We start from the raw sequence: 12,893 nt of genomic DNA on the forward strand, positions 1-12,893 counted from the left end.
AACAAATACCATAGACTGGGTGGCTTAAACCACAGATTTCTTTTTCCACAATTCTGGAGGCTGGGAAAAATAAGCTCAAGGTGCCTGATGATTCTGTTCCTGGTGAGGGCTGTTTCCTGGCTTGCAATCCACCTCTTGTTTCCTGTGTCCTCACAAGGCAGAGAGAAAGAGATCTCCTTTTCTTCCTCTTTTATAAATAAGGCTACCAGTCATATGGAATTAGGGTCCCAATCTCATGAGCTTATTTAACCTTAACTACCTCCTAAAAAAATTGTCTCTGAATGCAGTCACATTGGAGGTTAGGGATTCAACATATAAATTTTAGAGAGACACAGTTCAGTCCATAGCACCTGTTAAAAACTGATTAAATAGCTTCAATGTTACAGTAGAGCCAATTTACTTTCTGGTAATATTTACATAAATGAGAAACTAGTAATTCATTTGCTGTTGCTTATGTGGTCATTTTTCTGTCAATTCCCACTATAAGAACTGAGAAATCATGATTCTTAGTATAATGAAAATATTAAAATGAAAATGAAATAGAATAAGCAATGTATACTATATTAAAAGAAGAACAGGAAGTGGAAAACACACAAACAAAAATGAATAAAAATATAAAGGAAAGAATAATCAATAGATAGAATTAATGGCTTCTTTGATGAATTTTTTTTCAAAACCAACAGAGAATGGTTACAGCAAGTGAATGGAAAAAGATCAAAGAAATTTAAAAAAATAGTGGTGAAGAAATGTTTACAAAACAAGGCTGTAGCCAGGCACAGTGGCTCATGTCTGTAATCCCAACATTGTTGGAGGCCATGGTGGGAGAATTGTTTGAGGCCAAGAGTTCAAGATTAGACTAGGCAACATGGTGAAAATTCTTCTTTCACACACACACACACACACGCACACACACACCAAAAAAAAAAAAAAAAATTAGCTTCCTGGCTGGTTGTAGTGTCCTCTGCTGGTAGCCCTCTCTGCCTAGGAGGCTGGGACAGGGAGTGGGAGGATCCTTTGAACCCAGGAGTTTGAGGCTGCCATGAGCTATGGTTGTGCCATTGCACTCCAGCCTGGACCACAGAGAGAAACTCTGTTTCAAAACAAACAAACAAACAAACAATAAATGGCTGTGAATGGGGATTCACTGTTAGCATCAGGTAAGGTTAGAATAAAAGTTAAAGCAAATCAAGTGTGAATTCAGAAAATGACCGTCAAGTGCATTATAAATATTAGAATGTGGTAAATTAAATTAAATAATCACATCCATTGTATCAAGTAACTTCATCTACTATTCTCATACTGTGTTACAAACTATAAAATAAAGTATAGAAAATAAGCCATGGTTATTATTTTTATTTTATTTCATTTATTTTTATTTTTAGCATTGCTATATTTTCAGGGTAGATTAACTGGTGTTAAAAACAACAACAAAGCCCCTCAAAATCTTAGTGGCTCAAGAATATAAGGGTTTATTTCTCCCTCATTTCTTTCTTTTTTTTAATCATTATTATACTTTAAGTTCTAGGGTACATGCATACAACATGCAGGTTTGTTACATAGGTATACCTGTGTCATGTTGGTTTGCTGCACCCATCAACTCGTCATTTACATTAGGTATTTCTCCTAATGCTATCACTCCCACAGCCCCCCACCTCCCAACAGGCCCCAGTTGTGATGTTCCCTGCCCTGTGTCCAAGTGTTCTCATTGTTCAATTCCCATCTATGAGTGAGAACACATGGTGTTTGGTTTTCTGTCCTTGTGACAGTTTGCTGAGAATGATGGTTTCCAGCTTCATCCATGTCCCTGTAATGGACATGAACTCATCCTTTTTAATGGCTGCATAGTATTCCATGGTGTATATGTGCCACATTTTCTTAATCCAGTCTATCATTGATGGACATTTGGGTTGGTTCCAAGTCTTTGTTACAGGCCACAGTAACCATCTGATCTTTGACAAAGCTGATAAAAACAAGAAATGGGGAAAGGATTCCCCATTTAATAAATGGTGCTGGGAAAACTGGCTAGCCATATGTAGAAAGCTGAAACTGGACCCCTTCCTTACAACTTACACAAAAATTAATTCAAGATGGATTAAAGACTTAAATGTTAGACCAAAACCCATAAAAACCGTAGAAGAAAACCTAGGGAATACCATTCAGGACATAGGCATGGACGAGGAGTTCATGACTAAAACACCAAAAGCAATGGCAACAAAAGTCAAAATAGACAAACGGGATCTAATTAAACTAAAGAGCTTCTGCACGGCAAAAGAAACTACCATCAGAGTGAACAGACAACCTACAGAATGGGAGAAAATTTTTGCAATCTACCCATCTGACAAAGGGCTAGTATCCAGAATCTACAAAGAACTTAAACAAATTTACAAGAAAAAAGCAAACAACCCCATCAAAAAGTGGACGAAGCATATGAACAGACACTACTCAAAAGAACTCATCCTTTGTTATGGCTGCATAGTATTCCATGGTGTATATGTGCCACATTTTCTTTATCCAGTCTATCATTGATGGGCATTTAAGTTGGTTCCAAGTCTTTGCTATCATGAATGGTGCTGCAATAAACATACATGTGCATGTGTCTTTATAGTAGAATGATTTACAATCCTTTGGGTATATACCCAGTAATGGGATGGCTGGGTCAAATGGTATTTCTGGTTCTAGATCCTTGAGGAATAGCCCTACTGTCTTCCACAATGGTTGAACTAATTTACACTCCCACCAACATGTAAAAGTGTTCCTATTTCTCCACATCCTCTCCAGCATCTGTTGTTTCCTGACTTTTTAATGATCACCATTCTAACTGGCACGAGATGGTATCTCATTGTGGTTTTGATTTGCATTTCTCTAATGACCAGTGATGATGAGCTTTTTTTAATATGTTTACTGCCCGTATAAATGTCTTCTTTTGAGAAGTGTCTGTTCATACTGTTCATATTCTTCTCCCACTTTTTGAAGGCGTTGTTTTTTTCTTGTAAATTTGTTTAAGTTCCTTGTAGATTCTGGATGCTAGCCCTTTGTCAGATGGATTGACTGCAAAATTTGCTCCCATTCTGTAAGGTTACCTGTTCACTCTGATGATAGTTTCTTTTGCTATGCAGAATCTCTTTAGTTTAATTAGATTCCATTTGTCAATTTTGGCTTTTGTTGCCATTACTTTTGGTGTTTTAGTCATAAAGTCTTTGTCCATGCCTGTGTCCTGAATGGTATTGCCTAGGTTTTCTTTTAGGGTGTTTATGATTTTAGGTCTTACATTTAAGTCTTTAATCAATCTTCAGTTAATTTTTTTATGAGGTGTAAGGAAGGGGTCCAGTTTCAGTTTTCTATATATGGCTAGCCAGTTTACCCAACACCATTTATTCAATAGGTGATCCTTTCCCCATTTCTTGTTTTTGTCAGGTTTGTCAAAGATCAGATGGTTGTAGATGTGTGGCATTCTTTCTCAGGCCTCCGTTCTGTTCCATTGGTCTATGCATATGTTTATAGTTTGAAGTCAGGTAGCATGATGCCTCCAGCTTTGCTTTTTTTTTTTTTTTTTTTTTTTTTTGCTTAGTATTGTCTTGGCTATACAGGCTCTTTTTTGGTTCCATATGAAATTTAAAGTAGTTTTTTCTAATTCTGTGAAGAAAGTCAATGGTAGCTTGATGGGTATAGCATTAAATCTGTAAATTACTTTGGGCAGTATGGCCATTTTCACGATATTGATTCTTCCTATCCATGAGCATAGAATGTTTTTCCATTTGTTTGTGTCCTGTCTTATTTCCTTGAACAGTGGATTGTAGTTCCCCTTGAAGAGGTCCTTCACATCCTAAATTGTATTCCTAGGTATTTTTTTCTCTTAGTAGCAATTGTGAATGGGAGTTCACTCATGATTTAGCTCTCTGTTTGTCTATTATTGGTGTATAGAAATGCTCGTGATTTTTGCACATCGATTTTGTATCCTGAGACTTTGCTGAAGTTGCTTATCAGCTTAAGGAGATTTTGGGCTGAGACAATGGGGTTTTCTAAATATACAATCATATCATCTGCAGACAAAGACAATTTAACTTCATCTCTTCCTATTTGAATACACTTTATTTATTTCTCTTGCCTGATTGCCCTGGCAAGAATTTCCAATACTATGTTGAGTAGGAGTGGTAAGAAAGGGCATCCTTGTCTTGTGCTGGTTTTCAAAGGGAATGCTTCCAGCTTTTGCCCATTCAGTATGATATTGGCTGTGGATTTGTCATAAATAGCTCTTACTATTTTGAGATATGTTCCATCAATATCTAGTTTATTGAGAGTTTTTAGCATGAAGGGGTGTTGAATTTTATCAAAGACCTTTTCTGCAACTATTGAGATAATCATGTGGTTTTTGTTATTGGTTCTCTTTATGTGATGGATTACATTTATTGATTTGTGTATGTTGAACCAGCCTTGTGTCCCAGGGATGAAGCCAACTTGATCGTGGTGGATAAGCTTTTTGATGTGCTGCTGGATCCAGTTTGCCAGTATTCTACTGAGGATTTTCACATCAATGTTCATCAGGGATATTGGCCTGAAATTTTCTTTTTTGTTGTTGTGTCTTTGCCTGGTTTTGGTATCAGGATCATGCTGGCCTCATAAAATGAGTTATGGAGTAGTCTTTCTTTTTCTATTGTTTGGAATAGTTTCAGAAGGAATGGTGCCAGCTCCTCTTTGTACCTCTGGTAGAATTTGGCTGTGAATCTATCTGGTCCTGGGCTTTTTTTGGCTGGTAGGATATTAATTACTGCCTCAATTTCAGAACGTGTTATTGGTCTATTCAGGGATTCGAATTCTTTTTGGTTTAGTCTTGGGAGGGTGTATGTGTCCAGGAATTTATCCATTTCTTCTAGATTTTCCAGTTCATTTGTGTAGTTGTGTTTATAGTATTCTCTGATGGTAGTTTGTATTTCTGTGGCATCAGTGGTGATATCCCTTTCATCATTTTTTACTGTTTCTGTTTGATTCTTCTCTTTTCTTCTTTATTACTCTGGCTAGTGGTCTATCTATTTTGTTAATCTTTTAAAAACACTAGGTCCTGGATTCATTAATTTTTGAAAGGTTTTTCCTGTCTCTATCTCCTTCATTTCTGCTCTGATCTTGGTTATTTCTTGTCTTCTGCTAGCTTTTGAATTTATTTGCTCTTGCTTCTCTAGTTCTTTCAATTGTGATGTTAGGATGTCAGTTTGAGATCTTTCCTGCTTTCTCCTGTGGGCATTTAGTGCTATAAAGTTCCCTCTAAACACTGCTTTAAATGTGTCCCAGAGATTCTGGTATGTTGTGTCTTTGTTCTCATTGGTTTCAAAGAACTTATTTATTTCTGCCTTCATTTCATTATGTACCCAGCAGTCATTCAGGAGCAGGTTGTTCAGTTTCCATGTAATTGTGCACTTTTGAGTGAGTTTCTTAATCCTGAGTTCTGATTTGATTGCACTGTGGTCTGAGAGACAGATTGTTGTGATTTCTGTTCTTTTACATTTGCTGAGGAGTATTTTACTTCCAATTATGTGGTCAGTTTTAAAATAAGTGCAATGTGGTGCTGAGAAGAATGTATATTCTGTTGATTTGGGGTGGAGAGTTCTGTAGATGTCTATTAGGTCTGCTTGGTCCAGAGTTGAGTTCAAGCCTGAATATCCTTATTAAATTTCTGTCTCACTGATCTGCCTAATATTGACAGTGGGGTGTTAAAGTCTCCCACTATTATTGTGTGGGAGTCTAAGTCTCTTTGTAGGTCTCTAAGAACATGTTTGATGAATTCGGGTGCTCCTGTATTGGTGCATGTTTATTTAGGATAGTTAGCTTTTCTTGTTGCATTGATCCCTTTACCATTATGTAATGCTTCTCATTGTCTTCTCTGATCTTTGTTGGTTTAAAGTCTGTTTTATCAGAGACTAGGATTGCAACCCCTGTTTTTTTTTTTTTTTTTTTGGCTTTCTGTTTGGTTGGTAAATATTCCTCCATCCCTTTATTTTGAGCCTATGTTTGTCTTTCCTCTTGAGATAGGTCTCCTGAATACAGCACACCAATAGGTCTTGACTCTTTATCCAATTTGCCAGTCTGCATCTGTTAATTGGGGATTTTAGCCCCTTTACATTTAAGGTTAATATTGTCATGCTTGAATTTGATCCTGTCATTATGATGCTAGCTGGTTATTTTGCCTGTTAGTTGATACAGTTTCTTCATAGTGTCAATGGTCTTTACAATTTGGTATGATTTGCAGTGGCTGGTACCAGTGTTTCCTTTCCATATTTAGTGCTTCCTTCCAGAGCTCTTGTAAGGCAGTCCTGGTGGTGACAAAATCTCTCAGCATTTGCTTGTCTGTAAAGGATTTTATGTCTCCTTTGCTTATGAAGGTTAGTTTGGCTGGATATGAAATTCTGGGTCAAAAATTCTTTTCTTTAAGAATGTTGAATATTGTCCCCCACTGTCTTCTGGCTTGTAGGGTTTCTGCAGAGACATCTGCTATTAGTCTGATGAGGTTCCCTTTGTGGGTAACCTGACCTTTCTTTCTGGCTGCCCTTAACATTGTTTCCTTCATTTCAACCTTGGTGAATCTAACGATTATGTGTCTTGGGGTTGCTCTTTTCGAAGAGTATCTTTGTGGTGTTCTGTTATTTCCAGAATGCCCTTTGTTATTACGAAGCACTCAATTTTTTCATTAAAGGAATTAATGAAACCCAAGCAAAAATAATATATAAAGAGATTAAAAAAACTGATTAAAACTAAAAATGTATAGCTACTACCAGAGGTAATAAAATAATCATTTAAATCTAAGCATATAATTGAAAGCCATAAAAAGTAAGCCAATATTTTTTAAAAACTTGAAAAGCAAACAAAAACCCTTGTTAAATTTTAAGCTAGAGAATTTTTAAGAATATAGAACAGAAAATAAAGTTCCATGACAAAAATAAAATTGATATATTTTAATAATGAAATAAACTCCAGTAATTCACTATAATTGCATTTTATACTATTTAATATATTTGCATGGTGTAAACATGTATTTGTATTTTTGCTATATTAAAGATTAGCTGGAGCCTGAAATGATTGAATATTGAAACATTCAATCATTTTAGTTTCACTATCTCATCCTTCAGTATTTGGGAAATGTAATTATTCATTAAACTTATGTTTTCATTTATAATAAAAAGCAAATGAACTTACTACTTTCGTTTAATTAGATTCTTAGGATTTCTCAATAGTCTATTTTTCCCTGAAAGCCAGATGACATATTTTGAAATTTGATGTTATTATAATTTGAACTAGGAAATGAGTAGAAAATGATCTTCCACTATCTAGGGAAAAACCTCCTATTATTAGAGGGATAACTCATGTAAAATATGGTGAGGGTTTTTCTCCTTTATCAATTAAGAAAGGATGATTTTTACAAGATCCCATCAACAATAAAGTACTATCATGTAAAGAACGAAAGCAATTGTGCAGAGGATTTCTATTATCCTGTGTATTGGCCAAGGTTCAAGCAAGAACCAGGCACTTTCAACAAAGAAAAATTAGATGAAGATTTAATAAAAGAGCTATGGTACCAAGACATAGACACAGCATAGGGAAACTGCTAGGGATAGTTCCACATCGTTGTATTTATAATGGTGGAACTGTAACAACCTGAGTGTGGAAGGAATGAGAAGTGGGGGTGGTTCCTGAAAATCAATGCAGAATTATATACAAAGGAACACCCTGAGAGAATCAGTGACCTTCAATCAAGGCACACAATTATACTATGGCTGCTCCTCAGGAAGGGAGCCAAAGAAACACATACCCTTACCTCACTTTCCTCCTGCTGCTGGATCTCCTGCCAAGTCCCATAGTTAGCTGAGGTCTGTCCTAAGCCAGAGCCCTTGACGCAATCCAAGCAGGTCAGTCTCTTGAGATACGGAGTTGAGGGGAGACGAGCAGATAACAGATGTGGAAGCAAATAGTAGCTATATGGCAGAATGTGTCTTTCCATCTTTAGAAAATATCTATGAAATAAATATAGGGTTTTTTTAAGTTAACTTTTTATTTGGCTTAGTAAGTAAATTAGTTCAGTTGTAGTTGACAGAGGCTTAAGATCAAACACTTGTAAATTTGTATGTGAAAATGATATTATTTGTATGTGAAAATTGTATTTACTAGTTAAATTCTAGATCTTGAAGTCCAAGAAAGTTCTGTACTAGGTTAGACTTGTATTTATTGAGTGATTCAGTATTCTTTTCTCTTTTAAGGACATAAAGTTTAATTTTCCATGGATCTACAGAATATAATGAATAAATGGAAGCCTCCTGATATTAGTATTTAATGATCTCCTCAATTTAAAATCAGGTTATCATTTTCTGCCACAGCATCTTATGGGTGAAACATTAAAACATTTTTATATTCTTTCTGAGTATTTACTTTAGATATTTTGTTCCTGGAAACTGGATAAAAATAAGAGGTTAACTATGTTATTACACTATAGAGTTACTGTAAAAATGGCCCAAATGTGGGAGTCTGCATCTGCCTAGGAAAAATAAAAATGCTGGGTAGAACATATTTTTGGGCTTCCCTGAATCTGGTGATTTTTGTCACTGGTATGTCCTGTTCAGGGATATGGAAACTGTCTATGGAATTTTCACAAGAGACATTCACTCCTGAGGATCATAAGACTTCATACTATTCCTGTGCCCCACCTGAAAAATTTTATTTCATTGCTTCTGAGACCATCACTTGAAGGGGTGATATGGTTAGGTTCTGGGTCTCCACCCAAATCTCATCTTGAATTGTAATCCCCAGGTGTTGAGAGAGAGGCCTGGTGGGAAGTGATTGAATCCCGGTGGTGGTTTCCCCCATTCTGTTCTCGTGATAGTCAGTGAGTTCCCACAAGACCTGATGGTTTTATAAGGCAGTTTCCCCTGCTCTGTGTTACACTCTTCTCTCTCTCCTGCAGGCATGTGAAAAGATCCAAGTTTGCTTCCCCTTCACCTTCTGCCATGATTGTAAGTTTCCTGAGGCCTCCCCAGACATGTGGAACTGTGAGTCAACTAAACCTCTTTTATTTATAAATTATCCAGTCTCAGGGAAATTCTTTATAGCAGTGTGAGAATGGACTAATATAAGGGGCAAAGAGAATCATTCCTGGACAGCTCTGTAGACTGTTGCAAGAACTATTCCAGTTGAAGACAAATGTGTGACTCTGCCCTGCTGGTGAGCTTTGTTTTCTCTCCTATATTCATCCAATGAATCTGACGTCTAGGTTGACCTTAGCAAAGATATTTAACAATGTATCACCATCCAAGGAAAGTTATAAGGGGGGGAGGGGGAGAAATTCAAATGTTCTGTTTTTTTCCATTATCTAGGTTAGAGTAAGTGTACTTTTTAAATTGATTAGGAATTACATTCATGGTGATCAGAAAATAGGGGTTTAAACATATTACAGGTTGATTTTTCTTCAAAGTTAAAAAAGATGGAGTTAGAAATCTACTATTGTAGCTCTTCTAAGAAATTATCAGCGAGATATAGTCTCTTGCTATCTTCCTGCTCTGCCATATTCAGTGTATAGACTCCCTTTTTAAGTTGTCTCTTGATTCTATGGAGATTCCAAAATTGCATGTACTTTATGCAGGCGAAAGAGAAGGGCAGTGGAAGAGACAAAAGCCCGATGACCCTGCCACTTTCCCTTTGCTTTTGAGGAACATTTCAGAAACTATGTTCAACAAATACTACTGAATTTGTATTGAATTGGCCAAGACAATAATTGAAACCAGAAAGAAAGTTTTTCATTGGGAAATGGTTTCTACTAACAAATTTAGTATGTCCACATTAAAAAAGGTGAGAGATTATATCACCTTCTCTAGATTGCTACTTTTCTTTACTAGTTAAATTTTTGTATATGTTTTGATGCTAATTGAAAAGGAAAGATACAATATCACAATAATTGACTGACTTTCACCTCAATCTCTCTTCTAAACCTTCTCTGTATTTTTAGTAGTAGTATAGCACCAGCACTTCATTAGCATGTCCTTTTGCTCTTGATATTTTACAAAATATATTAATAAGAGTTTTTTTAAATGACATTCTATAGGCTCCACAGAGTATTCCACCAAAAAAGTATCAAATCGGCACACCTAAAACTGTATGTCTGTATGTGGTGCAGTGATTTAAAGAGAGAGGTTTAGTGAGAGTAGAATGTATCAGACATTGCCCAATGAACAGCTCAGACTGGACGTGAATATTGTGGCCTAGGCAGGAATATATAGCATAAGAAGAGGCTGTTTAAACTATAAAGAGTATCTGACACAAAAGTTCTGAGTGGATTAGAGCCTTATTTTTCAAATTTTCATATGTTTTCCTGTGATGTTTCTTACTCAGTGAAGATGTTGAGGCTAGACTAATATCACTCCTAGATGACTTAAGTGTTACATTGATGTCAAAATTATTCATTTCATACCTTCATGATTGCTCATTTTAAGGTTATCTTTACAGATGATTAAATATATTATATTTCAAAATGTTTCCAGTCAAATCTAATATGGATTTTAGCATTTTTACATTTGATTTCACCTAAGTTTTGCTGGAAGTTGATGTGATTTCTAAGGCAAAACAATGTGTTTAGAATAAATAATAAACATTTTCTAACCTACAGTTTATTAAAGTTCAGTAAACAAATTTGTGATTTAAAAATTTTTCCTCATATTACTTTGCAATGGACTGAATGCTCATGTCCCCCCAAATTTATCTGTTGAAATCCTAACCCCCAGTGTGAGGGTATTAGGAGGTGGGATCTTTGGGAGATAATTAGGTTATGAAAGTGGAGCCCTCATGAATGGGTTTAGATTCCTTATAAAAGAGATCTCAAGGAGCTCTCTTGCTCTCGTTCTCTGATGTGAAGATACAAGGAGAAGATTGAACTCTTTAACTTCAAAGGGGGCCCTTAATAGAACACAATCATTCTGGATCCTGATCTCAGACTTTCAGCATGTGTAACTGTTAAAAATAAATTTTCTTATTTATAAGCCACCCAGTCTGTGGTGTTGTTATAGCAGCCCTAAGACGTACATGCTTTTAAAACTTATTTAATTAAAAACATTCTACTAGAGAAATAATATTCTAGTTCTGACTACATTTGATCTTGACATGTATCAACCAATATTTATTTAACATTTCATGTATATCAAGTGTTATGTTAGTTATGGGCAAAAACTGAAAACAAAACAGAGTCCTCCACTCTAGGCACTCTTGGCACAACACAGTTAGTGTTATAATCAAGCTCTGTACACAGTGTAGTTAAAATCCAAGGAAAATATCCTTTAATCCTGCCTTGGAAATTCTGTAAAGGCTCAGTAAGTTCATTAGGTTTGAGATTTTTTTTCTGAGGGATACACATACCAATTGGAATGAATAAGGAAGCATATTCTAGGCAAGAGAAACATTTGTAAAAAAAAGAAAACTTAAAATGATAACCAGAGGAAGGCTTCATGTGCTCTTTTATTTTTTAAGCATAGTGACTCATATATATCTTGTTAAACTAAAACATTACAGAATAATGAAACAAAGTGATTGTTTATTAAGTTGGACATTAACTAGACCTGGACTGGTGGCAATTAGGATACATTACTCTCCTATTTTCTATTTCTAATGAGCACTGTGGCTATGTGACACAGCATATTTTTCCTTTCTTCTCTTGCCTAATTGCCATTTCTCTTATTATGTTCTAATCCAAATTCTGGAGCGAGAAGATTGACTTAGTAATTATTATAATTCTTATAGATTCTAGATTCCTCTATTTTAGTCTCGTTGATAGCCTACTTCACTACAACCCACTTCCCTACAACCTACAGCCCTGTGTAGAAATCAGTTTCAGAAGAAAATCATCAAAGGTGAAAGAAATTTTAACTGACTAGTACAGTAGAGAGGTTTACCTATTTATTTTCACATGCAACCAGATAGTATTTGAATAATGCATATGAGCTTCAGAGATTCACATTGCTTTTTCCATTCTGAGATGACTTACAGGTGTTTAATGGATTATTTTTAATATACTGATGAAATGATTTGTACTATCAAAAAAGAAATGAGAATGGAAAAGAATATACATTAATGTGGGCTTTCTCCTACATTTTACATGCAAATTTACCATCCTATATATTCAGACTATTCTTAACTGACCTTACTAGTGTTATTTAAATGTATGTTAATGTCTGCATATTTAAACCATGTTGAGGACTGTAGCTGAGATGAAGAGAATTCTCGGAATATTCCAAATGCATATCAATTAGAGAAGATTAGACTTTACATCCTTCTAGCTGTGTTGGAGAACACTTACTTTTTTATGTAGAATGTGAATAAAATTACGTAAATAATTATTGTCTTATTTTAATAAAAATACGTTTGCTTATAATGCTGACTGTTATTAGTCAGTGTTATAACTTTTTTTGGTAGCATTTGTTCTCTGTTTACTTATTTTTATTTTATTTACCTGGAGACATTAGTTACAAACTAATTTTGAATGTAAACAAGATATTGTAGACAGTTCACCACTAATATCATATTGAATCCTGAAGGAGTCATTAAAGAAAAAAAAATCTGATTTCTCTGTTAAAATATTGCCAATCAATCTTATTTTTATACAAATGCACATAAATTAGACAAATCTTTCAGGGGAACATATATTAATCAATTAATTTGTTCTTGGTTAGTATTTTTCTCAGACTTCCACCATTTTCTAGACATGGTTTTTAGAAGATGCTATATTGCTACAGCCCCTTGTTTTGTCGCTAGTATTTAATTTACTTACAAATTTACTTACAAGTACACCAATGAATCTGATTGCTTATTAGCATCAAAAGTAATCACATTTTAATGAATCAGCAAGAGGGTTTTTGTGCTAATTCTTTCTTGTT

The 12,893-nt window shown here is 35.2% G+C and overlaps 1 long non-coding RNA gene across 2 annotated transcripts in view; it reads right to left on the reverse strand.

Annotated features, from left to right (window-relative positions):
- Window positions 1–12,893, reverse strand: part of LOC105370466 (uncharacterized) — a 53,842-nt gene that overhangs the window by 28,441 nt on the left and 12,508 nt on the right. For both annotated transcript variants that reach the window (XR_943790.3, XR_943792.3), the window contains exon 2: window positions 7,802–7,997. This is a non-coding gene — a long non-coding RNA (uncharacterized LOC105370466). The remainder of the gene's footprint in view (window positions 1–7,801; window positions 7,998–12,893) is intronic.

This window comes from Homo sapiens, chromosome 14, assembly GCF_000001405.40.
Source record: "Homo sapiens chromosome 14, GRCh38.p14 Primary Assembly".
Classification (NCBI taxonomy): Eukaryota; Metazoa; Chordata; class Mammalia; order Primates; family Hominidae; genus Homo; species Homo sapiens.